The sequence below is a fragment of the Homo sapiens genome, chromosome 22, assembly GCF_000001405.40.
Source record: "Homo sapiens chromosome 22, GRCh38.p14 Primary Assembly".
Taxonomy (NCBI): Eukaryota; Metazoa; Chordata; class Mammalia; order Primates; family Hominidae; genus Homo; species Homo sapiens.
In genome coordinates, this window is record NC_000022.11 from 47,805,349 (window position 1) to 47,832,714 (window position 27,366).

Sequence of the window (27,366 nt, forward strand, 5' to 3'; positions counted from 1 at the left end):
CTCATCACCAAGGGTTGGTACTAAGCCATTCATAAGAGATCCACCCCCATGATTCAGGCCCTACCTCTAATACTGGGAATCACATTTCAATGTGAGATTTGGAGGGGACAAATATCCAAACCATATCCCTAGCTTAGGTGACTGGTTGTTGCATGGAGCCGCTGAGATATGGGAGTTGTGTATTGCAGCCATTACATGCTCTGGTGGGGGCCAGCCAGTGGGGTGCCTGGGTGGGCCTGGAAGTGAGATGCCAGCCCCTCCTCCTGGTGCAAGAGCGGCTGAGAAAAGCCCTCATCCTTGCCTCCAGTCGACATGCACAGTGCCATGTGGTGAGGGCCCAGTGATGGGATGAAGGAAGGAGCCAGGGAGAGCCCATTCCCCGAGAAGGCTGGGCCTTCCTCTTTGCTGTTGTGGACGCTCGCATCAGAAACCCATACAGTCTTTGAGAGTGGGACACTCCATCTTCTTGGTGCCTGTGTCCCCTGGATTAGCACAGGCCTGTCCCAGGTAGGCCCTCCATGTGCTAGAGTTGAGCACAGCAGCTTCTGGAAGGTGGGAAAGAAACTGGTAGAGACCAAAATGGTACAAAAGTTCCTTCTTTCCCACACACAGGACTCACTCCCAGCACCTGAGAAGGGAAGTGGGCGATTACCTGAGTGAGATGTTCCCATCTCAACACTGTCATCATTTAAAGACTGTTGTTTGATCTTATCATCACAACTGGTACATTACAGCACTTATAGGCACTTACATTAGACAAATGTTAAATACATTATCGAGTTTAAAATGTTATTATGGTAATAGGGTGCCTGATTTCACTGCAGTTCATCTGAAAAGGTTTCAGTGCTTGAGAATATTTCTATTTCAAGGTTAATTAATAGATAATCATGCTGATTTGCCTCAGAGGGATCTCCTTCGCACACCCGGGCCACTGTGAGTGTCAATTTTTATTATCTGTAAACCTTGTTGCCGACACACCCTTCCCCTGGGTCCTCCTGCCCCAACACATTCAAGCAAAGCGACTCAGTGCTCACAAGGAGTTTTGACAAGACATGGGTTCCAACACATTTTATTCTGTTCACAATGTAGAAAAACCACTGCTTCAGAACACATGTTTTAAATATTAAAGTGCTGAAGGATACATTCAAAAAGTACAAGAACACATAACATAATCATCTCCTCAAGGTAATATTAGCACTCAACGGCCAAAAATTGCAGCAAAGAGAAATGGTTGCATCCTTGGAGCTACGTCATCCTGGTTGCCCAAGGTCTGTTAGAGCAAAGGTCCCTTTCTCTGCAGGGCAGGTCTTTCTTCTGAATCACAGAATGTTGGTTCTGCCATTTTGACCAATAGATTAGTAACCAGTTAAACCCAGACTGAAACAATGAGCTGCTAGAGTTTAATTTTTCCTGGTAGGAATTCAATGTAGGGCACTCATCGGAGAAAAAGTCAATTACCCTCTGGCATCCGCTGCTTGGTTACAGCAGTCACTGCCTATCCATGGACTAATTCAACCAGTAAAACATTTAATGACCATCTACTTAAGGCAGATGCTTGCACAAAGATCAATCAGACCCAGACCCAGACCCAAACCCAGAGCTCCATGCCTGGAGCCATCGGAACCTGCACAAAGACGGTGCGGCTTTTGGAGGGAATCTCTTCTAATCCCCAAATTGATGACCTCTGGAAGAATGTGAGGGAACTCCGCGATCTCTGCTCTGTAAGAACATGGGCCTCTGTGCCTTGGTTCCTGGCTGGTGCCTGCCTCAGACTTGCTGCCTGGGTTCCCCCGTGTCCCCACTGCTGCCTCTGCATCTCACTGGCATTTCTCAAGGGCCCACCCTGGCCCAGGCCTCTTCTAGGAGCTTTCCACGCACTCTCTGATTCCTCCTCCCCACAGAGTGCTGCTGGGTGCTGAGTGGATGGATGGAGGTTGCTGTCACGAGGAAGTGAAGCAGCATATGGAGGAAATTTGCAGTACCGCACCCCTCCTAGGCATCCCCAGGCCTGTAACATCACTTTCCTCCTCTCCTCTCTTCCTCTCCGCACCCCTCCTAGGTATCCCCAGGCCCATAACATCACTCTCCTCCTCTCCTCTCTTCCTCTCCGCACCCCTCCTAGACGTCTCCAGGCCCGTAACATCACTCTCCTCCTCTCCTCTCTTCCTCTCCGCACCCCTCCTAGGTGTCCCCAGGCCCGTAACATCCCTCTCCTCTCTTCCTCTCCGCAAGCACACTTTACAGCTTCCTTTGCAGAATGTCGGGGGAGTCAATTTTAGCTGTGAGGTGTTGAAAGGCCTTCCTGAAAGAGGTTGTTGGAGGAGGAGAAGGAGGAGGAGGAAGAGGGAGACACCTGAAAAGGAAGGGGAGGAGGAGGAGGAGGAGGAGGAGAGTTGGAGCACCCCAAAGGATGGGGGTGGGGGGCATTTGCATGGTAGGGATACTCCAGAATCAGCATGTGCAAAGGCTCTCGAGGGGGTGGGGGTAGGTGGAGTGGTTCAGGCAGGAACATTCTGGAGTCCTTGGTAGATGGGCATACTGTGGTTGAGGGAGTAGGTTGGCTGGATGGGTCTCTGCACAGAATATGTAGAGCAGCTGCCTGATTCTTTGAGGTTTATTATTCCGAGGGGCAAAGAAGCAATTGCGTCTCTCTTACCATGCGCTGCCTTTGAACATTGCTGCTGCTTTAGCATAACATTAGATTAAATGTGCTCTTTGTCTGTCTTTAAAATAAACTCCCTGAAGGATTAGGTTGTGATTTTGTTCCCAAGTTAACTCTCATTTATCTGAAATCCTGTCTGTGGTAGCTCAGAAATCTGGGTCCATTCCTTCACTGACATTTCCTGTTTGTCAGCCTGGCCTAGCGTAGGGGAAGAGTTGTTAATGCCCATCCATCCCATCCAGTGGCCGTCAGAATACCAGAGCAGGGCTTACGAGCCTGTGTCAGGGCCTCTGAAGGATTTAGACACACCTTGGGCTGTGGCCTGGAGCAGTCAAAGTGCAGGGCGGGAGCCCTCCCCACAATCCTTGCGTTCTCTCACCCCCTAAATCTGTGCCCATTGGAGGCTGGACACAGTCCTGGTGCAGGAGGCACAGTGGTGAAGATCAGCAAGCCAGTGAGGTGCCTGGGTGGGCCTGGAAATTAGATGCCAGCCCCTCTTCCTGGTGCAAGAGGGGCTGAAAAAAGCCCCCATCCCTGCATCCGGCCAGCCTCCAAGAGCCACATCGCCTGAGCTGTGCAGCATTGACATCTTTCCAGAGTTAACACAGATACCCTGCCCAGTGGGGCGTGTGTGAGAAACAACGTTGAGGGAATGCACACCCTGGAGCAAGGGACAGGGGTCACTGGAAAGGCCCCTCCACACATTGCTTCCACCGCAGGGGCCTCCTTGCGGGCAGAGGCTGCACGGGATGCATCTTTGTCCCCAGATCCCACAGATAAGGACGTTGGTGTCTGCCCTAATGGAGAGTTTTGCTGCTCTGTGAGAGGCACACAGAGCTTCAGGCCCTGCTCAGGCTTGGTACTGGCTGCGGAAGCAGGGGGTTCAGGCTGCAGGATTCTCCTGAGCGGCAGATGTCCTCGTGCTTTGCTTTCTCTCTTAGCCACTGGGGTCACAATGCAATGTAATCAGTGGTCCACACTGACCAACAACAGGGCTTCCTCTGAGCAGCTCCTGGACAGAGCAGGTCCTTGGTACTGGTCTGAGGCTCTGGGTCTGATGGTCAGATCTACCCCCGTATTGCAATCTGGGACACATATTTCCCCAGGAAGCTGTCGGGAGTGCAGACCAGCCTGATGCTGAGGGTGCAGCCCTGAGGTTGCTGGGGTCTGCTTTAGCCCCCGATCCCATGACCTGCACCTCTGCCCTGCCCACTGTCCGGCTGCCTCTCAGCTTCCAAGGGAGGCCTCTGGGAACCACCCAGGCTTCCTGTACGGTACTTTCCTTTGGAGCCTGGATCAGTCAGGCTGAGCCTGGCTGTGCTGTAGAAACAAACAAACCCCACTTTAAAGATTTCTCACTCAGTTAAGTCCACTGCGGGTCTGCAGCTCCCCAGGCAGCTCCCTTCCACTTGGTGACTCAGGGATCCAGGAGGCCTCTCTGAGGATCCTCATCTTGCTGGGAGAGAACTCTGGACACTCACCTTTCTCCACTGCCACCGGCAACTGGGAAGTCTTTCCATGAAGCCCAGGAAGGAGCGTAAAATTGGATGAGATACTGTAGCAATCTCCATGCAACATCCAAGCTCTTCCAGGAGAGAAGGACAGGCTGAGAGGCTGGGCAGACCCGGACTCTATTCCTGCCCCAGCACCCTCAGGAGTGTGTGCCGCTGGGTGGGTCCCCTTCTGTGCAGAGCAGCAATTCTCCTGAGCCAAAAAGATGTCAGGATCAAAGTTCAGCTGTTCCTGAACTTGCCAGCCCCTGCTCACAAAGGCTGCAGAGCCAGAACAGAGACGAAGAAGCTCCTGATGCCTGTGCCTCTGTTTAGGTGGTGTGTGTGTGGGGTGTATGTGTGTGGTGTGTACGTATGTGTGTGTGGTGTGTGTGTGGTTTAGGTGGTGTGTTTGGGGGGGAGTGTGTGTGTGTGGTGTGTATGTATGTGTGTGCTGTGGTGTGTGGTTTAGGTGGTGTGTGGGGTGTGTGTGTGTGTGGTGTGTACGTGTGTGTGGGGTGTGTGTGTGGTGTGTATGTGTGTTTATGTGTGTGTGGTGTGGTGTGTGTGGTTTAGGTGGTGCACGTGTGTGTGTGAGGTGTGTGTGTGGTGTGTGTGTGTTGTGTGTGTGTGGTGTGTATGTGTGTGGTGTGTGTGTGTGTGGTGTGTATGTATGTGTGTGTGTGTGGTGTGTGTGTGGTGTGTATGTATGTGTGTGGTGTGTTGTGTGTTTATATGCCTGTGTTAAGGTTACCGGAAGTAATGCAGCATATCTCTTTAGTTTCAAATTCTAGATAAATAACAAATACTGGTTTTCTAGTGTGTGCTATGGAATATTTGAATGCATTTATACTAAAAATATGAGGATTGTTTATGCTGTACTTTTACTTGCTAACTCTGACAAGTCGTGTGTGTGTACCTGTGCACAACATTTCAGCTAATCTTCAAAACAACTCGATAAAGTAGGTACTATTGTTCTACCCATTTTATAGATGACGAAACTAAGGCACCCAGAGATGAACTCACCCGGGACCAACAGCCTAGATCTGGTGGAGCCAGAAGGCCCCTCACACAGCCTGGCCGCAGAGGCTGAGCCCTCAGTGGGCGCCGGGACCTTCTGGCAGAGGCTGAGAGTGTTGGGGAATTTCAGATCCATCCTGGAGGGAGCCTGACTGGGCTTTAGTGGGGTGGCTGCCGGTTGGGGTTCTGAAGGGACGGGGGACCCTTGCTCCACAGCCAGGGGCTTCTGTTCCACGGGGCTTTTCCAAAGCCTCCTTGGCCCTCCTGCTTCCCTTTTCCCTCCTCCACTCCCCACGGTGTGGCCAAGCGGGTGAGGAAGCTGAGCCACAGGAATTCAGACTTTCCCACGGTGCCCCCTTAGGCGGTTCCTGAGTCCGGGGTCCCATCTGTAAAACCCTAGCATTCCCTCTCCTGGGAGGGCTCCTTTCGAGAACTGAATGCTGTCATAATTGTGTTTGTGCAGCCCCGTACAGAAGCCCAGATTTTGGCCTCTCCATGGCCCACACACCCCCTTTTGCCCTAGGAGTGGGCCGCGGTGACACCTGCCGGCTCTCCCTTCACAGACCCTGCCCCATCCATCCTCAGTCCCATCTACCCCGGCCCCAGAGGGGTCCCTCGCCCCTCAGCATCAGCTGGACCTCCTCCAGCCTCCCTCCAAGGCACCATTTCTGGTTCCCACAGTGGGACCAGGGATCTCTTTTTCCTTCTCTCACTGGCTCTGGTAACATCTCACTGAGACCCCAGCGGGAGTTGCAGCTTCCTGATCTGGAATGATGTGTGTGTGTCTGTCACCAGGGGGGCCGAGCTCAGATGGGCAGGGATCATGATGGCTGATGCGTCCTGGCGGCTCCCAGCACCCTGCCTGCTTCTGTGTGTGCTGAGTGTTGACTGGCATGAATCCTTACGGATGGTTTCCATATGCAAATCATGCAAAAACCCAACATCCCCAGCCCCCTGTCAAACCCAACTTTCCCCTGAAATAGCTGCCTCTAATTGCCCTTAACACACAGCAGTGTGGCTGAACGATGTTCCGTAGCTGTGGGCATTCCGAAGGAAAATGTGTCCTTATCCCCAGTTATAAGGGGTGTTGTGGGCCAAATTACGTACCCCAAAAAGTCTTGTCCAAATGCTAACCCGCAGCTTCTGTGAATATGACCTTATTTGGACATGGGGTCTTTGCAGGTGTGATTAAATTAAGAATATGGAGATGAGATCATCCTTAGGATTTAAGTTCAAATCCTCAAATCAGATGACAAATTTAATTTAATTTAATTTAATTTATTTATTTTGAGATGGAGTCTTGCTCTGTCACCAGGCTGGAGTGCAGTGGCACGATCTCAGCTCACTGCAACCTCCGCCTCCTGGGTTCAATCAATTCTCTTGCCTCAGCCTCCTGAGTGGCTGGGACTGCAGGTGCAGACTACCACGCCCGGCTAATTTTTGTATTTTTAGTAGAGATGGGTTTCACCATGTTGGCCAGGCTGGTCTCGATCTCCTGACCTCATGATCTGCCCACCTTGGCCTCTCAAAGTGCTGGAATTACAGTGTGAGCCACCGCACCCAGCGTGGATGACAAATTTTTATAAGAGAACAGGGAATACTCAAACACACAGAGGAGAAGACCACGTGTCCTTGAAGACAGAGATTGGAGGGATGTGGCCACAGGCCAAGGATCACCTGGAGCCAGGAGGAGCTGGGAGAGGCAGGAAGGATCCTCCTTTGAGCTTTTGAAAGAAGCGAGGCCTGTCAACTCCTTGATTCCAGACTTCTGGCGTCCAGCACTGTGAGAGATTGAACCATGAGTTTGTGGCAATTAGTTGTGGCATCGCCTGGAAACTGATAGGAAGAATACAAACTCTTCAGAGAGAGGGAAAAAGTGCATGGCATTAGCTGGGTTTTCATTGTCTGCTCATGGACTCAGATTTATTGAACATCTATTTGTATTAGTTCCAAGAAATAGAAATACTAAGAATACAAAGCCCGTGCTCTGAGAAATACATCAGGAGAAATTTAGTACATCAAAGACAGCTACTAGCTCCAGGGACACAGGTGCCAGGCAGGGCTTCGATCTGGGTCTTCACTAATGCCCTTGTCTACAGGCAATCCCAAGGCACAAGTCATCTACCCATGAGCAAACTGAGCCGCAGAGCATTACACACTGGTGGTAATTTAAAGAAAGAGTGTTTATGCTTAACCCAAGAGGACCTCTTCAGTTAGGTGGTACTTGACTTAACTCTTTTTTATTTTTTATTTTTTTTTTCTTTTGAGACGGAGTTTCGCTCTTGTTGCCCAGGCTGGAGTGCAATGGTGCGATCTCGGCTCACTGCAACCTCTGCCTCCCAGGTTCAAGCGATTCTCCTGCCTCAGCCTCCTGAGTAGCTGGGATTACAGGCATGTGCCACCACACCTGGCTAATGTTTTGTACTTTTAGTAGAGACAGGGTTTCTCCATGTTGGTCAGGCTGGTCTCCAACTCCTGACCTCAGGTGATCTGCCCACCTCAGCCTCCCAAAGTGCTGGGATTACAGGCGTGAAACACCGTGCCTGGCCGACTTAAATCTTAACAAATGGATGGAAGGCAGCCATACACAATGTTGGGGACAGGCCACCTGGTTCTGGGGGCAGGAGGAGCAGGCAGGGGGCCTGGGTGCAGGTGGTCTGCGAGGAGGCAGCATACAGAGTGTTGTATGTGTCGGGGAGCTGAGGGGGAGAGGCCACAGACATGGGTACAGACCAGGAGATTCAGGACAGATGCTGTGATGAGATGGGATTTCTTCCTACAGAAGTCGGGAGAGCCTCTGAAGGGTTCCAAGTCGACAGAAGGACTGGGTTTGAGAGAGAGCATGCCTGAAGGGGAGAATGCAGGGAGAAGGGAGGCCAGGAAGAGGCTCTTCTCCACGTGGGATGGTGAGGGCCGGTCTAGCAGCACGAGGTGAGTGATGGAGGGCAGCTCTAGGAGGTCAGGCTGCGTGAGGGACACAGGTGGCCCAATGGATCCCCGAGAAGCCACATCAGCTGTCAGGAGCTTTGTGGACGAGGTAGAATGCTTTCTGAATCCTGAGCACTGTGCAGGACATGGGTCCTTTGTCAACTACCATCGAAGAATAAGTGGTAATTTTCGGAGATGCAAAATGTTGGGTGCAGAATGCGAGTCCCCCTCCCCTGCGGGCCGTGGGCTGCTTGGCTGCGGGGTGAGGGTGGTGGGAGTGAGAACAGTGCTCCCTGTTTTGTGCACATTGCTACTCACTGTCGAGTTCAGCATGAGTGTGGGGAACAGCCCAGCCAGGGATTTGTCTCGGGGACACAGAATGATGGGGTGCGCAGGGAAGAGGGTGCCGGGCCACACCCTGTTTTCTAGCGGACGGTCGCTGTGGGGTGATGACTGCAGGCCCCGGTGCAACCTTCCCTTTTAAATCATCTGAGGCGGCAGAAGCATCAGCTCCACAGCCACGCTGCCCTCTTCTGTTCTCTCCTTAGAGGGGAGAAGGATTCATGTCTGACTTTTGAACCCGTGTCACCTGCTCCCATTTCGCCTTGCCACAGAGTGCAGCACCAGGATAGGAGTGATAAAGTGGTGGAAGGTGCCGCTCCGACTTGGGACCTGCCACATCCCACATGGATTCTTTCCCTACAGAAATTCATCGCCAGGAAAAATGACCTGGTCAAAGTAGGATCTGGGCATTCAGGGCACCTTGGACATAATGGTACCCTAATATTCATTTGAATACTGTGAAACTGCCAATATTCAACCATTGTTATCTGCTAACATGGCAATTTCTGCGGCCGAGTCTGTACCAGCCAGTAAGGCTTGTGTCTCATGTTCACCTCAAACAAGCTAGAAAAGAGAGAACATAGGAGGTTCAGGCAAGAAAAGATGCCTGGTGTAAGACTATGCGTGTGTGTGCATGTGTGTGCATGCATGAATGTGTGTATGTATGTGTCCATGCAAGATCATGTGTGTGTGCATGCAACAGTGTGTGTATGCATGTGTGCATGCATGAGTGTGTGTGCATGCATGACTGTGTGCATGCATGACTGTGCATGCATGATTGTGTGTGTGCATGCATGGTTGTGTGTACGTGTGTGCATGAATGTGTGTGTGTTCATGCATGATTGTGTGTATGCATGCATGATTGTATGTGTGCATGCATGGTTGTGTGTGAATGCATGATTGTGCATGTGCATGCATGATTGTGTGTGTGCATGCATGATTATGTGTGTGCATGCATGTGTGTGCATGCATGGTTGTGTGTATGTGTGTGCATGAATGTGTGTGCATGTGTGTGCATGCATGATTGCATGCATGATTATGTGTGTGCATGCATGACTGTGTATGTGTGCATACATGATTGTGTGCATGTGTGCATCTGCATGTGAACAGGGCAGGGTGTGTAACTTTCCCAAGTCCCTTTGAGAGGGCAACACACACAGCTACACTCTCAGGGAATGGAGGAGGCAGCAAGAGGGAGCTAGTGTGAAGCCACTTGCCTTGGAGCCTGGACGGTGGGTCCAGTATGAGCTGCCCTGGGCACAGGGGAGTTGGCTTAGCACTAAAGTCGGGAGCTGCCAGCACTGGATTTGCCCTAGCATGGGTCATTTTCTGATGCACTATGTACCTGCATGTTGTATCTGCTGTTTCCTTGCTAACTCACCCCTGTTGCTAACTCACCTCTCTGGGATATGAGTGCAAGGACATTTTTCCATCCAGGCCACTGATGTAGCCCCACACCTAGAACAGCCCCCGAAGGACGAAAGCTCTCTGGAAGTATTCATGGAGTGGCCGATGGAACTAAGGGTGTGGGCATTTGAGTGTAGCTGATTTGGGGAGTGCTATTTATATCACATGTGCTTGACATTCATTCTTTGCTATTTTTTTCTCATGGAATAAAACAGTGTCTGGCACATAGTAGGTGCTGGGGAAATCGTTGTTGATTGAATACATGAAATAATAAGAAGGAATAGATATCAGATTGTTTTGTTTCTAAGATTGAGTTGCCATATTAAAAAAATAACAATACAGGGTGTACAGTTAACTTTGAATTCCAGATAAACACATAACTTTTTAGTATAAATATGTCCCAAGTAACATGTGGGATGCACTCATACTGGAAAATTAATCTGAAATTTAAATTTAGCTGACGATCCTGTATTTTATCTGGCAATTCTACTCTAAGACCATGTGAAGTATATAAATTCATTGTTATTTCAGGAAAGGGAGCTGAAAAGCTTGGACAACATGCCTAGAATCACAGAGCCAGCAAGAGGCTGGTCCGCTGACTGATGCCCCTCCCCGTGCCTCCTGCCTTTAAAAGGGGGCCCAGGGACAGGCTCCCGCACATCCCTACATTTCCCAGGCAGGAGACTCAGGGGCAGAGAGGCGGGAGGCTCGCTCAGAACTCAGCGCCAGGTTAAAGCAGTTCTGGGTTGGACCCTGTGCTCCTGCCCCTGCCCAGTGGGCTGGCATTCTTGCCACTACCCTGAACCTTCATATATTCTTTGCCCGATTTATTGAATCTCTGAGGCGCTATTGCGGGAAAACGCCACCCCACACCTCTGTCTGGTTTCCTGGACGTTGCCTGAAGGCCAGGGTTCCTGCTGGCCGTCTGACCTTTTCTCTTGTTCTCTTGGCGGCCTTTTTACAGAAGATACCTTTACAGCCAGCTACCTGGGAATCGCTGTGCACTTTTGGGCCACATCTGCTGGGGACAGGCTGCAAGCTGAGCAAAACCTGCTTGTTTGCTTGAGCTGCTCCAGATAATCTAATGAAAGAAACAGGGCTGATTAATCCCAGATACTCTACTGGCGTTTAATCCCAGTGAATGTTAGACAACAATCTCATTATGTGCTTATGTCTTCAACATGACAGGCAAGGAATGAAATTAAGCCATAAAATCAATTATTTCTGCAGAAATTGGCATATAAGACAAAACATCATCAGGAGGCGAAAGCAGTGATGATTAGGCCTTCATTTCCCCCGTGCTGATTGTGGAGCTGGCACCACACTCGCGATGCTCCCCAAACCATCCCGTTGCAAGGCTGGGTCCTGGGCACAAAATGGGGATTTGAGAAATGTCCTTCACAGATAACGCTCTCTTCTTGCCACTTCCTCTCCCTTTCTCTCTCCTTCTCTCTCCCTCTCTTCCTATCTCTGTGTCTCTGCCTCTCTATCTCTTTCTGAATCCTGGTGGACATTGTGAGCTGTTGCGGCTGCGTTTGGGGAGTCTTATGACCCACGGTGGGTCTCCTGTCCTACTGCGTGGCATGCCGGGTCCCAAGGGTTTGCAGAGGGACTGAGGAGAGCGTGACTACATAATTGTACAATAAAATTGTTATAGACACCGAGGAGTAGTGAAAGTAAAACAGAACAAAACATTGACTCAGAAGTCAGAAGACGGGTGACAAAGCTGTGTCACCTCCCACCTCTTGAGTTCTTGGAAACTTTTCTGCCAGAGGCTCAGTTTTCATGTCCGCACAAAGTGGAGATTGTGGGAGGTAGTTTTTCAGGCCTGGTGTGACATTCCTTTAGAACGGATGCTGGGGCCGTGTGCTGGGCAAACCTCTACACAGTAATTAGGTAGCCAGTGAGCACGGCTGCGAGGGCGTTTGTCATCCCAACAGCCCATATTCTCAGAAATAATCACCCAGAGGAGCCTCGGTACAGAGACGGATAGGGCAGGAACCACCAGCTCCTGACCTCAAACGGAGGTGTACAGACATTCATCAGAGGTGGCAGCCAGCTCCTGCTGCCTCATGGTGCTTCCAAGGTTGAAAAAATAACCTTCCAACACCTCCTGCCCTGACACAGGGTTACTTCTGGTAGAGGTGGGGAGAGGAATCGATGGAGTGAGAAGCATCCTATGACCTCTATATGACCTCTATTACTGGGATTGTTGACAAGAAAAATTCTTTAATTTTTTACTTCTGTAATTCACAAGCAAATATAAGTATCGAGAACAAGGCTATTTGTAGTTGTGGTTTCAAGAATCCACGCCAGTGCTGTGAGTGACCTGCGGGTGGGAAGATCTTTGTGCTGGGTATGAAACCACAATGACGACCACAAAGGAAAGATGGCATCTACTGATGTTAGAGGCACTTGCTTTTATTCTCATTAGCATTTGCCCAACAAGAACTATTCAATCCTTTTGACAGAAGAAGCAACTGAGGCTCCAGAAGGCACAGTGACTTTTCCAAGTCACACAGCTAAGGATAGAGGCGCCAGGAAGCTGGCCCAGGATGAGAGATGGAGAGCTGAGATTTTTTCCTTTCAGGTACCACTGCACACACCCATGAGGAGAGTACATCTCACCCATCAGGCCTGGGAGGGTACGTACAAGGCAGGACGGGCCTGAGAGAGTTCCCCAGCAGCCCCTCCCTGTTGCCTAGATCTAGGTTATATCAGTCCTGGACGAGGGCAAACAAGAAGGACTTTAACACAAGACACCCAGATCTGATGCCCCCTGTTTCCTTGCCAGGCAGGCAGCTGGTGGTGAGGAAGGGTTGCCGGTCATCCCTGGGAACTTCACCCAACAGTCAGGATGGTCAGGGTTGGATCGTCTTCCCTCACTTAAGCCCCGCCACCTTCTTTCTCCTGCGAGGGGCTCGGCCCCCTGCCCCACTGGAGCTCCCCTATCGCCACAGTATTGGGAAGTTGCCATTGATTAAGATTGTACGGTTTGTGCAGATGGACAAGGAGTCACCATTGACTGCAAAAGCAGATACAGCAGCAGGGCCCTTGGTGTGCTCTTCTTCTAAACATATGACGCCTTCATCTTCCAGCCAGCACCGGGAAAGCCATCTTTTTTCCTTGGGTCTGGATTGAGGCCAGGCTGCCCTGCCCTCTCAATCCTGCAGAGTGATGGAAGCATGTCTGCAGAGGGCTGTGTTCCACCTGCCCCTCACCCACCAAGAGCCTACAGAAAGCTGGCGGTGACTGGGGAGCAGTGGAGGATCCAAAGCTCAGCAAGAAGTCCAGGCTGGATGCCTGCAAAGGCAGAGTCTCCATTGTCCACTCACAACCACGGCCTCACGCATGATGGGCCCTGCCACATGCCTACCGAATCCCTGTCCTCAAAGGGAAGCACTTTGGGGTGCAGGGAAAACCAAGTGAACACAAACCATCTGCAGAAGGTACCAGAGCAGCCTGATGGGAGGACAGAGAAGGCACAGGCGGGGGCTCTGGGACAGCAAGGGGACGGCCCCTGGAGAGAGCTGCACTGCGGCCAGGTGGGGAGACGTCAGGGCGGGGGCTGCAGAGGCAGAGGAGCTGGAGCTGCACCTGCACCACAAGGCTAAGGGCAGAAAGTGCAGGCACATGGGGGACAGCATGATCTATTTATCGATTCATTTAAACATTTATTGAGTGCCTACTGTTTGTTAGGGACGGTGCTATAGCCACTGGAGGAAGAGAAATGAAGGAGTCTATTGGGGAAAAAGAAAAAGAATTAACCGCACTTAATTATCCTGCAATGATCATTACAGTGAGAGAAAGGTTTGCACAAAATGTTCTGGTAATCCAGGGGAGGAAGAGATTGAATCCAGGGGGAAAGACAGGATAGTAGATAAGAGTCTAGGACCTGGACTGGAGGGGCACATTTCAAATCCCAGCTCTGTCACTCAATAGCTGTGTGATGCTGTGTAACTTGTGTAGGCTCTCTGGCCTCTGCTTCCTCATCTTTAAAATAGGGATAATAAAAATTATACCTGGTGTGCAGTATGGTGTCTATAGGTAATAACACTGTATCCTATACTTGAAATTGGCTAAGAGTAAATCTTAAGTGTTCTCACAGAACAAAAGAAGAAAATGGTAACAATGTACGGTGATGGCTATGCTAATTAGCTAGGTGATAGTAATCATTTCACAATGTATCAGGCATCAAGTTATACACTTTATTATTTATTTATTTATGAGACGGAATCTCGCTCTGTCTCACCTAGGCTGGAGTGCAGTGGCATGATCTCGGCTTACTGCAGCCTCCATCTCCTGGGTTCAAGCGATTCTCCTGTCTCAGCCTCCCAAGTAGCTGGGACTACAGGTGTGTGCCACCACACCCAGCTAATTTTGTATTTTTAGTAGAGATGGGGTTTCACCATGTTGGCCAGGCTGGTCTCAAACTCCTCTCCTTAGGTGATCCATCCGCCTCGGCTTCCCAAAGTGGTGGGATTACAGGCATGAGCCACCGCACCCAGCCTGTACACTTTAAATACGTACAATTCTAATAGTCAATTACACCCCAATAAAGCTGAAAATAAGAAATAATAATCATACCTGCTTCATTAAGGTTATTGTAGTGGGGTGTTGGTGTTAACCAGCTCTCTTGAAAAAAAAAGATATGCATATACATCTATATAAGCTTATTATAAATTTTACTATAAAATAATTTCAATCCAATTCAGAAATAAAGTTGCCCACATCATTGACTAATGGCTGTGGTTCCAACAGGAATGTTGGCAGTTGGCAAGATTGCCTCAGTCTCCCAGGTGATCCCAGCAGGAGGTGCTCTTAGCAGATTTCTGCATTAAAGTAGACAATTACTGTGGAAGATGTTAAGCTGTGCCCATGATTGCCTCAGCGGTGTACATGACCTCTGACATGACCTTCCCCAGTCCTGGGCTTCCACTGGGTTCTGAATTTTCTCGGACTTGAGTAAATTAAACCCTCTTTCTAAAGCAATGGGCTCAGCCTTTAGGGATGCATTTCTCTCATCTTGTTTCCTCCTCTTCTCTGGTGGAAATCTTGTAACAGTTAATTTGATCTGCTTCTTAGGCTGATTCTGCCTACCTCACCAACTGCAGAACCAACACTGAGAGCTGAATCATTAAACTTTTCCCTTCTTTTGGGTCCAAGCTCAAGAGTTGAGTTTCTCTACTGTTCATTCTTCTTCCATTATATGGCCCTTGCTGGCACCTCACGGTGCCTAACTTGAGACCATCTGAACATTTATTAAGTGGTTTTCATTTATGTATGTATTTATTTTATTTTTTTGAGACAGAGTCTGGCTCTGTCACCCAGGCTGGAGTGCAGTGGCATGCTCTTGACTCACTGCAACCTCTGCCTCCCAGGTTCAAGCAATTATCCTGCCTCAGCCTCCCGAGTCGCTGGGATTACAAGCGCCTGCCACCACGCCCGGCTAATTTTTGTATTTTTATAGACACGGGGTTTCACCATGTTGGCCAGGCTGGTCTCGAACTCCTGACCTCAGGTGATCCTGCCTGCCTCAGCTTCCCAAAGTGCTGGGATTACAGGCATGAGCCACCACACCGGGCTGAGTGTTTTTCTTTGTTGGACAACCTGCACATGTTTTCTCAGCCTCAGATAACCTCAGGGGACATGGGCTGTCTTTAGACTGATTTCACATAGTTAATATTACTCAGTGGTAATTTAAATCTTTATTTTTCATGAAAACAAATTCTTTATTTTTCATGAAAACAAATGCAGATATGAAATGGAGTGGAATGTTCAGGAATTTAAGGTAAATAATATCATTAAGAGCTCCCATGCCCTAAGAGGCTCCTTTAGGTTGTGTGGCTTAGATCATCTCCCCCATATTACACATTTACTTTTCTTCTGATAGAAGTAGTTTTAGGAAAACATCTGAAGCAGTGATAGAGAACAAGCCTAGCAGACAGAACTATGGAGCATGAAACTGCAGAGGCAGGGAGAACCAGGTTGCCAAAGAGGCAGAGAAGTATCCTCAAATGGCACCGAAGATACTCATCAGGGAAAGGTAGTGCCTAGTCCACTTCTGTTGCTATAATATAATACCACAAAACGGGTAATTTATAAATAAGTTTATGTAGCTCACAGTTCTAGAGGCTGGGAAGTCCAAGAGCATGGTGCTGGCATCTTGCAAGGACCTTCCTGCTACAGTATGACATGGCATGAGGCTCACAATGTGAGAAAGCAAGAGGATGAGTGTCAGCTCAAGTCTCTTCCTCTTCTTATAAAGCCACCAGGTCCATGATGGGGACACCACCTTGATGACCTTATCTAATTCTAGTTGCTTCCCAAAGGCCCCACCTCTAATCAATGTATGATTTAGGGATTAATTTTCTAACACATGAAATTTGGGGGAGACATTCAAGCCATAACAGGGAGACTCATGGGAGCCCTGGGCTGGGGTGTGGCCTGGCTTGGTCAGGGCTGAGCTTCTGGAAATGGCAGACAAGGTCGCAGACAGTGTTGACATGCAAAGGGCTTTGCTGCCCCACCATTCACAGTTCTGCTACCATGAGCGTGGGGCTGTTTTTGATTATCAGGTACTCTTTATTTATTTATTTTTTCTGAGACAGAGTCTCGCTCTGTTGCCCAGGCTGGAGTGCAGTGGCACAATCTCGGCTCACTGCAAGCTCCGCCTCCCTCCTGGGTTCACGCCATTCTCCTGCCTCAGCCTCCTGAGTAGCTGGGACTACAGGTGCCTGCCACCACGTCCAGCTAATATTTTGTATTTTTTAGTAGAGACGGGGTTTCACCGTGTTAGCCAGATGGTCTCGATCTCCTGACCTGGTGATCTGCCTGCCTTGGCCTCCCAAAGTGCTGGGATTACAGGTGTGAGCCACTGCCTCAGGTACTCTTTCCTTCAGAAACAGGCTCTCTTTTGTTGCACACATTTTTCTCATCACAGAGTAAAGTAAATCAGGAAGCTCTCGGAAGAAAAGAGATGCCCACTGTAGACAAGCTGAGCAGCATTTAGTCTTCAGAGCCAAGAGAATAAACTGTTAGTCAATGATTTAATTCAACTGCCTTGAATCCTAAACAGTGTTGATGAGGTTACATTACTATTTTGGATTCAGGCAGAAGGGGCCATACATGGAAATTAAGAGGGGAAAACCAATATTGAGTCAAAATGCTAGGCTCACTTAGGAAACAATTAAATAATATCTAGAGGGAATTGAATATTAAAGTCAAATGCATTCTAATGGGCTAAGTGGCCTTTTGAGCTTGCTCTCTCCTCAAATCATATATTCATATATTTCCAAGTCTTGCAAGCTCTGAGGCATTCACACTAGGGACAGCGCATGGTATTTGCAGAATATTAAGGGCATGATGATGTTTCTCAATAGTTCACAAATAATTCAGGAGTTGAGCTGCTTAAATGGGAGCTGTCGTGCTGCAATGTGGAATGCGGTCTCTGTGTGGTATGCTGGTCTGCAGGCTTTTGCTGAATGCAATGCCAAAGCATCAAAATCTAGAACAGGGCAGGAGCCTTGCCAGGAACTGCTTCAAGGCAGGAGCAGACTGAAACTGGAAGAAGGTTGCAGACACATCTTTTGAGGTGCAGAAAGCTGGGGACAGGACTGGAGGGGCAAAAGCATTTCCTAGCAATCCACAAAGCTGGCAGATTGGTTGAAAATCAGGAAAAGAGATTCCTATGATTTGGAAAGTTGATATCTGGGCCCCAAGGCACAAGGAGAGTCCTGGAATCTCACTGGTGCTCAGATCACAGGACATGCTAAAGGAGAGGTCCTGATCTCACCCTCAAAATGTTCCAGTCAAATGATGAACTCAATCTAAAGCCCAGGCCCAACTCAACTACTGAGTGGATGGATTCTCCCCACACCAACTCCCCACACCATGGTCGGGCAGGAGCAGGGTATGCTTTCTTCTGGAGCTAAACGTTATTTACTTTGGTCTACTTTTTTTTTTTTTTAAACAAACAGTCTCCAGAATAAAATAAATTTGACACGACACATGAAGAAGAAATAAGAAAAGGAGACCCACGGTTATGAGGAAAAATGGCCATGAAATGTCTAGAGAGGGCCTGGATGGTGGCATCATCTAATAAATAAGGCCCTTTAATATGCCTATGGCAGCTATGTTAAAGGACCTCGTAGAGAGGTAGAAACAAGCTGGAAATTTCACCAGATAGATGGAAACTATAGAAACATCCAAATGGAAATGACAGAAATGAAAACTGAGATCCAGAATGAAGATTAATTAAATGGGGTCACCAGCAGATTGAGCACAGCTGGACATTGCCTGGTGTGGCCCCAGGCCATTCTTCACTTGTCAATTCTCCTTGGACTCCTGGGATGGTTGGAGCGTGTCCCGTACATGGCAAATGGATAAGCAACAGAGGACAATGGACAACGCTTGCTGTCTGATATTGTCTGGCCCCATGTCCCTACCCAAATCTCATCTCGAATTGTAATCCTCATAATTCCCACGTGTCGAGGGAGGGACCGGGTAGGAGGTGATTTGATCATGGGGCTGGTTTTCTGCATGCTGTTCTCGTGATAGTGAGTGAGTTCTCATGAGATCAGTTGGCTTTATGTTTGAAGTTACTCCTTCACATGCCCTTCTCTCTCCTGCTGCCTTGTGAAGAAGGTGCTTGCTTCCCCTTCGTCTTCTGCCATGATTGTAAGTTTCCTGAGGCCTCCCTAGCCATGTGAAACTGTGAGTCAATTAAACCTCTTTCCTTTATAAATTGCCCAGTCTTGGGTATTTCTTTATAGAAGCATGAAAATGGACTAATACATTGTCTCATAGAGTGTTGAGTATGTGTGGGTCCCCTGTCTCATTCTCACGTGTCATTTCCAAAACAGATCATGAGCCGAACCAAACATGATGGCATGGTGAAATATACTCCTCCCCTTCGAGTAGGAGGAATTACAAGGTTATGTAGCAAATGGCATGAATTAAAATCCTGTTAAGGAGGGATTGAAGAATTAGTGAAGAATTAGGAATGATAATCTAGGCTAAACCCCAAAGAAGGCAGGCCAGTGAATGAACCTGAGTGTTGTAAGACCTTGTGTTGTTCAGGAGGTGGTAAAACTACTAATGTAAGGTTGGTAGTAATATACCAATTGTTTCTATTATAATATATATTTTAGTCACTAAAATAATAATAAATAGATATGTAACAAACTAATAGCAAAGAAAATGGAATAATAAAACATACTGAAATAAAATTGTGGGGTGGAGGGAGGGGGGAGGGATAGCATTAGGAGATATACCTAATGCTAAATGACCAGTTAATGGGTGCAGCACACAAACATGGCACATGTATACATATGTAACAAACCTGCACGTTGTGCACATGTACCCTAAAACTTAAAGTATGATAATAATAAAATAAAAAAGTAGCAAAAAATAAAATAAAATGAAATAAAATAAACCAAGAAGAGAAGGAAAAAGGAAAAAGCCAGGAACAGATAGAAAGCAAAAGATTAGACTATAGATTTAAACCAACTACGTAGTAATTACTAGGTTGAAGCATATGAAATTATCTCTTTTTTGTTTAAAAAATCTAATATTGCAGTTCCACATGGTTCAATCTAATGCACTAAATGAAAATTAACTACATACTCCAAATAAGAAGCAAAGATGATCACATAGGATTCAGAAATCTCAGATAACAACAACAGTAGCAAGTAGCAGAAATTAAACTGAAATGGAGCAAAGAAAGGTGAAGGTAAAACGATACCAAAAGTACCCCCATGCCATCACTAACTGAAGAAAAGCTTCCACAGTTTAACTAATATCAGACACTGCGGACTGCAGGTGGTGAGCGATGTTAGAGGAAGAGAGGCATTTCATAACCACCCAAAGGCCAATTCAACAGGTAGATAAAACAATTATCAATAACAGAGCAATCCACTTCATATAATATCAAAGTATGTGAACCAAAAAGTTACAGAACTAAGAGACAGACTCATCCACAAGCGCAGACTCTCAGGGGCCGCTGACCCAGCGTTCCTACTTCTGGATCTGTGCTCAACAGAAGTGTGAATACATGCACAGCAGAAGGAGAAAAGAAGCTTTCATTGTAAAAGCCTAGAATTCAGAATGTACCCAATGTCCACTAACAGTAGACTGGATACATGAACTGTGGCATATTCATATCATACAATATTATATACGATACAACAAAATATACAGCAACACAAAGAACAAGATATGGCTAAACACAACAAACAAATGGACCTTACAAATACAAAGTTGTGTATGCACCATATCATTTACGGAAAGTTCAATGGTATTAACCCTGAGAGAGTCATGAGGAAGGCTTATGGAAGGACAGTAACATTTAATTTTTTATCATCTGACTCGACACATTTCCCTTTATAAAAAACCAGTGAGCTATAAACTTGATTTGTACAGCTTACTTCATTTATGTTCTGATTCAATTAAAAAGCCTACAAAGAAGTTCCATCAGGATTTTTGAATAACCATATCAGACAGGTGATCTGACTGCCAGAAGAAAGTGGATGGCGTGAAGTTAAGGTCTTATTCACATGAGCCCATCCTGGATTTCAGCTTCCATAGCAAGCATGCTCTTCAAAGGAATTAAATGCAAACCAGCGAGGATGTTTTACAATACCAAGGGTGGAAATCCAACCCAACTCCCCTTTTGTAAAACAAAGCAGTCACTGGGATCGATCATACACTCAGCATTCAGGAGTATCTGGAACCCAGAACGTCAGCACCATAGGAATGCCTTCTCTCCCTCACCCGTCATATCTGGAACCCAGAACGTCAGCACCACCGTGATGCCTTCTCTCCCTCACCCGTTCCAGGTCTCATCAACAGACCCAGGTGGTAACAGCGCTCCCAGCTCCTCTCTTCTCTCAGTAGGGATTACTCTTCCTCACCCGATGACATCAGGCTTATCAAGACTTGTCTGGCCCATGGAATGTGGCAGCACTGACTCCCTTGGCCTTTGACAGGAGCCTTAGGAGGCACTGACTGGGCCTGCCTCATTCTCCATCGTCCTGGCTCATGGGTCCTTCAGACAGAGACTCTTCTTTCTGCTAGAATCCCAGGATGAGGAAGCACCCGGAGCAGCGACCCTGCAGCTGATCTGTAACATAAGAAACAAAGGTTTCCTATCTCAAGCCATTGACACTTGGAGATTGTTTGTTAATGCAATTAAAAATTAGCCTGTTTTTGGCCAGATGTGGTGGCTCACTCCTGTAATTTTAGCACTCCGGGAGGCTGAGGTGAGCAGATCACTTGAGGTCAGGAGTTCAAGACAAGCCTGGCCAACATGGTGAAATCCTGTCTTTACTAAAAATACCAAAATTAGCCGGAAATCTCTTGAACCCAAGAGGCAGAGATTGCAGTGAGCTGAGATCATGCCACTGCACTCCAGCCTGGGCAACAGAGCAAGACTCCATCTCAAAAAAATAAATAAATAAAAATAAAATAGTCTGTTCTTTTTGCTTAGGATTGTCTTGGCTATATGGGCTCTTTTTTGCTTCCATATGAAATTTAAAGTATTCTAATTCTGTGAAGAATGTCAATGGTAGTTTGATGGGAATAGCATTGAATCTATAAATTACTTTGCGCAGTAGGCCATTTTCATGATATTGATTCTTCCCATCCATGAGGATGGAATGTTTTTCCATTTGTTTGTGTCCTCTCTTATTTCCTTGAGCAGTGGTTTGTAGTTCCCCTTGAAGAGGTCCTTCACATCTCTTGTAAGTTGGATGCCTAGATATTTTATTCCCTTTGTAGCAATTGCGAATGGGAGTTCACTCATGATTATGCTCTCTGTTTGTCTGTTGTTGATGTATAGGAATGTTTGTGATTTTCGCACATTGGTTTTGTACCCTGAGACTTTCCTGAAGTTGCAGGGAACAACACACACCAGGGCCTATCGGAGGGTGGGGAGCAAGGGGAGGGAGAGCATTAGGGCAAATATCTAACGCATGTGGGGCTTAAAACCTCAATGACGGGTTCAAAGGTGCAGCAAACCACCATGGCACATGTATACCTATATAAAACTGCATGTTCTGCACATGTATCCTGGAACTTAAAGTAAAACTTAAAAAAAATTAGCCTGAACACTGCATGTTCTCACTTACAGCTGGGAGCTGGACAGTGAGAACACATGGACATAGGAAGGGGAACAAAACTCACTGGGGCCTGTTGGGGAGGGGCTTGGTGGGGAGAACATCAGGGAAAAGAGCTAATGCATGCTGGGCTTAATACCTAGGTGATGGGTTGACGGGTGCAGCAAACCACCATGGCACACGTTTACCTGTGTAACAAAACTGCAGATCCCGCATATGTATCCTAGGACTTAAAAAATAATAATAGGCCAGGCGCCGTGGCTCATGTCTGTAATTCCAGCACTTTGGGAGGCCAAGGCAGGTGGATCACAAGGTCAGGAGATCAACACCATCCTGGCTAACACGGTGAAACCCCGTCTTTACTGAAAATACAAAAAAATTAGCCAAGCGTGGTGGCGGGTGCCTGTGGTCCCAGTTACTTGGGAGGCTGAGGCAGGAGAATGGTGTGAACCCGGGAGGTGGAGCTTGCAGTGAGCCGAGATCCCGCCACTGCACTCCAGCCTGGGCAACAGAGCAAGACTCTGTCTCAAAAAAATAAAATTAAATTAAATAAAATTAAAGAAAATTAGCCTGAACTGATTGATACAACTTGTACCACATACAGAGACATGAAGCCTGGAGACTCTGGGATTACATCCTAATAACTCTGCGGCCCGGTGAAATAGGCCTACCTGCCCTGTAAAGTTTATACCATCCCGGGTCTGTAAGGGCTCATGTGTCCACTTCCAGAACAAACCTCTGGCAAGGATGGATTTCTGTAATTACTCTGGGTTAGTAGTGTGACAATCTTGAGGTCAGAGGGAGCAGTCTTCTCTGTAAATTCACAGTTTGAACAAAGCCTTCTGAAAGAGATCATTGTTTTGCTTTGCATGTACAAACAATAAATGTACACTGTAGTTATCACATGGAGTTATGTAACCTATTTGGTGGTTATTTATTTTGTGAAATACCAACCAATGGGACAAGATCCCTGGGCATGGTCAGGGAAAAGAACCCAGACATCTCATAACCTAAGGGATTTCAAACACTCATAACACTTCTCACTGTGAGTTAGGCTGGTTCTGAGGAGTTTTCTCATTCCACGATGTGCTGCATAGCATGTGGACCAGCCAACTGATCTTTGCCTGTAGTATATACATTTTTTGAGACAGGGTCTCGCTCTGTTGCCCAGGTTGGAGTTGCAGTGGTGCCATCTCAGCTCACTGCAACCTCCAGCTCCTGGGCTTGAGTGATCCTCCCACCTCAGCCTCTCAAGTAGCTGGGACTATAAATGCACACAGCCACTCCTGGCTCTGTTTTTTTGTTTTATTTTATTTTTTAGAGACAGGGCTTACTATGTTGCTCAGTCTGGTCTTGAACTCCTGGGCTAAAGCTATCCTCCCACCTCAGCTTTCCAAAGTGCTGGGATTACAGTCATGAGCCACCGTGCCCAGCCTGGCTATACTATTGACCTCAGGACTGCCACCATCCATGGCTACTGAAGAGTTGGATAATTTCGTCTACAAAATTGAATACATGTTTGTCCTTGAACCCAGTTGTCTTTATTGTTTATCAATGAATGCTCCCAGGACAAACCCTGCTTTCCAAAACTGAAATCTGAGATTCACTCTACCCCTCTTGCTACCAGAGCCCATTGCATTAGTTCTCTGTTGCTGCTTTTACAAATTACCCCAAATTTAGTGGAGCAAAACAACACAAATTTATTAGCTTATAGCTCTACAGTCAGAGGTCTGATAGAGTCTGAAGCATCATCAGGGCTGCCTGCCTCTCTGGAGACATTGAGGGAAGTCTGTTTCCTTGCTGTTTCCCGTCTTAGAGGCTGTCCACATTCCTTGGCTTGCAGCATCCACCTCTATCTCCAAAGCCAGCAAGACAGGTTGAATCTTTTTCACCGTGCTTTACGGTGACCTTGCTTCTGTTGTCCTTTCTCTCTCGGACTTTCTCCTCTGCCACTCTCCTCTTTTGAGACCCCTGGATTATGTTGCCTCCACCTCCAGGGAATCCAGGATAATCTGCCTATTTCAGTCAGTTGATTAGCAGCCTTAATTCCTGCAACCTCGATTCCCGTTTGCCCTGTTATGAAACCGACCCGTTTGCAGCTTCCAAGGAGTAGGGCGTCGGCCTCCTTTGGGCGTTATTCTGCTGAACACACCAAGTGAACACCAACACCTGCCGACCCATCTTCTTAACATCCTGGGTCCTGCAGGGGTTCCCACTCACAGCTCCAGTTCCATTCTCCACCCTCCCTACTTTGAGCTGTATGTTTAGGGAACCTCATTTCCAGGTCTGCCTGGGTCATGGCTCCTTTTAGTCTCAGCAGATCCTGGTTTGGATAATTAATTAGATGGTTACTCTATCCTGCTGCACGTGCCTGGCCACTTAATAGTTCCCCAGCCATGGGGAGCCGCCTCACATCTACGGCCTTTCTACTGTTCTGCCCTTCCAGGAGATCTCTGCATTCCAACCCACATCCATGTGGAAATATAACTTATCTTTCAAGGGTAAACTGCTGTGTCCCATCTTTTGTGAAATTGTCCTGTTCTGTGGAGGTTTATCTGATCATATCTGCTCTTATGCTGAGCTTGCATCTCACATGGCTCTGATACACAGTGTCGAGTACAATGGAACTGTGTTTGTTATTTCTCCTCTCCTGACGCCGAACTTCTTGAAGGCAGAGGTAGCTCAGGTCTCCAGGCACAAATCAAAGAGCCCTGCATGAGTCAAATCTCAGTAAGCAATGGATGGAGTTGAACTAACTTGGCGTCCACCCTCTTTTATAAAAAATGAAAACCCTTAGAGAGACCCAGTCTCCTCCCTCCATTGCACATAAAAATCAGTTAAGTCCGGGCGCAGTGGCTCACGCCTATAATCCCAGCACTTTGGGAGACTGAGGCAGGTTGATCACGAGGTCAGGAATTCGAGACCAGCTTGACCAACGTGGTGAAACCCTGTCCCTACTAAAAATACAAAATTAGCCAGGCGTGGTGGCATATGCCTGTAATCCCAGCTACTCAGGAGGCTGAGGCAGGAGAATTGCTTGAATCTGGAAGGTGGCAGTTGCAGTGAGCCAAGATCGTGCCACTGCACTCCAGCCTGGGAGACAGAGCGAGACTCTGTCTCAAAATAATAATAATAATAATGTTACTGTACAGAGATATCACTAAGTACTTATTAGGGTCTTTTTAAGTTTTATTCATTAAAAACTATAAGCTGTTAAGTTTAGAAGAATTATATATATCTTAAAAATCACTGTTATGTCAACCCAAAGGAATTGATTGACCTAGGCAATGATCATCAATGGATACATTCATTAGATGAATGATGGGTGGAGAATTTGACAATGGACAAATTAAATTGCTACCACCTATATTCCCTGATTGTCCCTCAGGATAGGACAACCATAAAGTGTGTCCCCAGTGTGAAAAGTACTCTTTAGTATCATATTTAAAGTATTCATATTTAAAGTACTCTTTAGTATCATATTTAAAGTATTCATATTTAAAGTACTCTTTAGTATCATATTTAAAGTATTCATATTTAAAGTACTCTTTAGTATCATATTTAAAGTATTTTAAAGATGCTAAAGTATCATATTTAAACTATTCTTGCTCAAAACATTACATCTTAAACTACTCAAGGTTCTACCTTCCATTTACAAAAACATGGGGAATAGAAGATGAACTCAAATGACACCACAAGGAACAACCAGACAAATCATCTACGGCTGGAATGTACAGGACAAGTAATATAATGTTGGGAAAAAAGTTAATGCACAAAACAAAAGGGGGCCAGGGACTTCTGAGCAATAAAGAGACTTAAGAGACTCCACTTGAATCAATGTGTCTACCTTGTTGGATTCTGATTCAAACTGACCGACTGGATAAAGATGTTCATGAGTGGGCAGAGAGGCATGACTATGGGCTGGGCATGGGGTACATGTAAGAATTTATTGTTCATTGTGCCAGATGTAATAATGGCATTTTGGTTATAGATAAAAACTTCTATTTTTTAGAGCTATACACTGAAGTCTTTAGGAGTGAAATGATACAATATCTGACATTCATCAAAAACAGATGCAAAATGTTATAAATGAATAGATGAAGCAGTTATGAAAGATAAAACCTCTCTACCTTTAAGCACGTTTGAAATTTTGCACAAACCCCTTTTTTAAAAATAGAAATCATTGATTGTATGTCTAAAATGATTAAGTTAGTGAATAAAATAGTTTTCTCCCAACTATGCAGCAAATATTTTCACCAGTAAATGGGGAAGTCAGACCTGAGAATCGGGGAAGGCTGTTTGAGCTAACTCTGTCATGATACATAATCACCTAGTGCCGTCCTTATTTTACACTTGACAGGTTATGTGGCCAAGCAGCTTTCGTGAGTTGCTGTAAACTCTGTTTCTGGTCTTTCCAAGCAGCAGGCCAGCTTCCCTTTCCCCTCTACCCTCCACAGTGCCTCCCACAGTCTTCTTCACACAATAGATATTCAGCACTTACCCTTCGAGTGAATGAGGGGATGGATGGCTGGGTCTTTGCACACTTGCGATACCATAGCTTATGAATGAATGGATGAGGCTAATAAAAAAGACCATGTTTTGCACTGAAATTGCTTCATGGTCCTTCTGGGTCCAGAGACTCTTTATCTATAGACATTGTGTCTATAAATCCATATCTACCAGGCCAGGCTCTTGAGTGAATGACTTACCAACATCCCACTGCTGCCCCAAGGATTCTGAAAGACGAAGAGACCATTCAAAATCAAAGGGAAGATTATTTCCCCACTGAGAGCTGCATACACTGAAAGGTAGGGAGCTGAGGGTGAAAAAACTCACTACTACTAGATCTGGTGTAGTTCAAGTTCATGAATCTCAGCACTGATCTCTCAGCCTGTTTCTTGCATAAATAAAACAGAGGCACTGGTTTGCATGAGAATCTCATAATGCGCTATGAAATCCATGCCAGAGTCAGGCATCTAATTTAAGAATTATTTCTCGATTTTGTGTCTCACATCCTGCTTCTGCCTCTTTCTGCTGATTGGATTCTTCCCTTCCCTTTCCCTAACAAGCTTGTCTCCCCCTCTCCCTGCACCTCCTCCTCTGATCTTTCCCTCCTGCCTTCACCTCTTCCTCTCTCCCTAATAAAGTGACCCTGGCCTGGCTAGATATCTGTGAGTTGGCAGAGAGGTCAAGACAGGTCATATGCCAAATGCCCTCTCCACCAGATCTGGGGCAGGTGGGTTGGGTTTAGAAACACAAGGAAGAGATGTGGGCTCAGCTTGGGTTGGGTCTCCAGAAGTCTGGGTGCTGGCACAGGCTCTGTGACTGACAAGGAACAAAGCACAATCTGTTGTTTCTGAGCCTTGTCTCCGCCTGAGGACCTCATGCTGGTCAACCGTGT

The 27,366-nt window shown here is 47.0% G+C and overlaps 1 long non-coding RNA gene across 1 annotated transcript in view, besides 1 other annotated feature; it reads left to right on the plus strand.

Annotated features, from left to right (window-relative positions):
* EPIC1 (epigenetically induced MYC interacting lncRNA 1) overlaps nucleotides 1-27,366 on the plus strand; it is a 223,927-nt gene that overhangs the window by 173,675 nt on the left and 22,886 nt on the right. The gene's annotated exons all lie outside the window — the stretch shown is intronic.
* Nucleotides 8,488-8,987: an enhancer, noted in NCBI's record as "H3K4me1 hESC enhancer chr22:48209585-48210084 (GRCh37/hg19 assembly coordinates)". NCBI's record gives its function as "activates a minimal SCP1, AML or CMV promoter by ChIP-STARR-seq in naive H9 embryonic stem cells {active_cell/tissue: H9 hESC(naive)}" and the evidence as "EXISTENCE:reporter gene assay evidence [ECO:0000049][PMID:30033119]".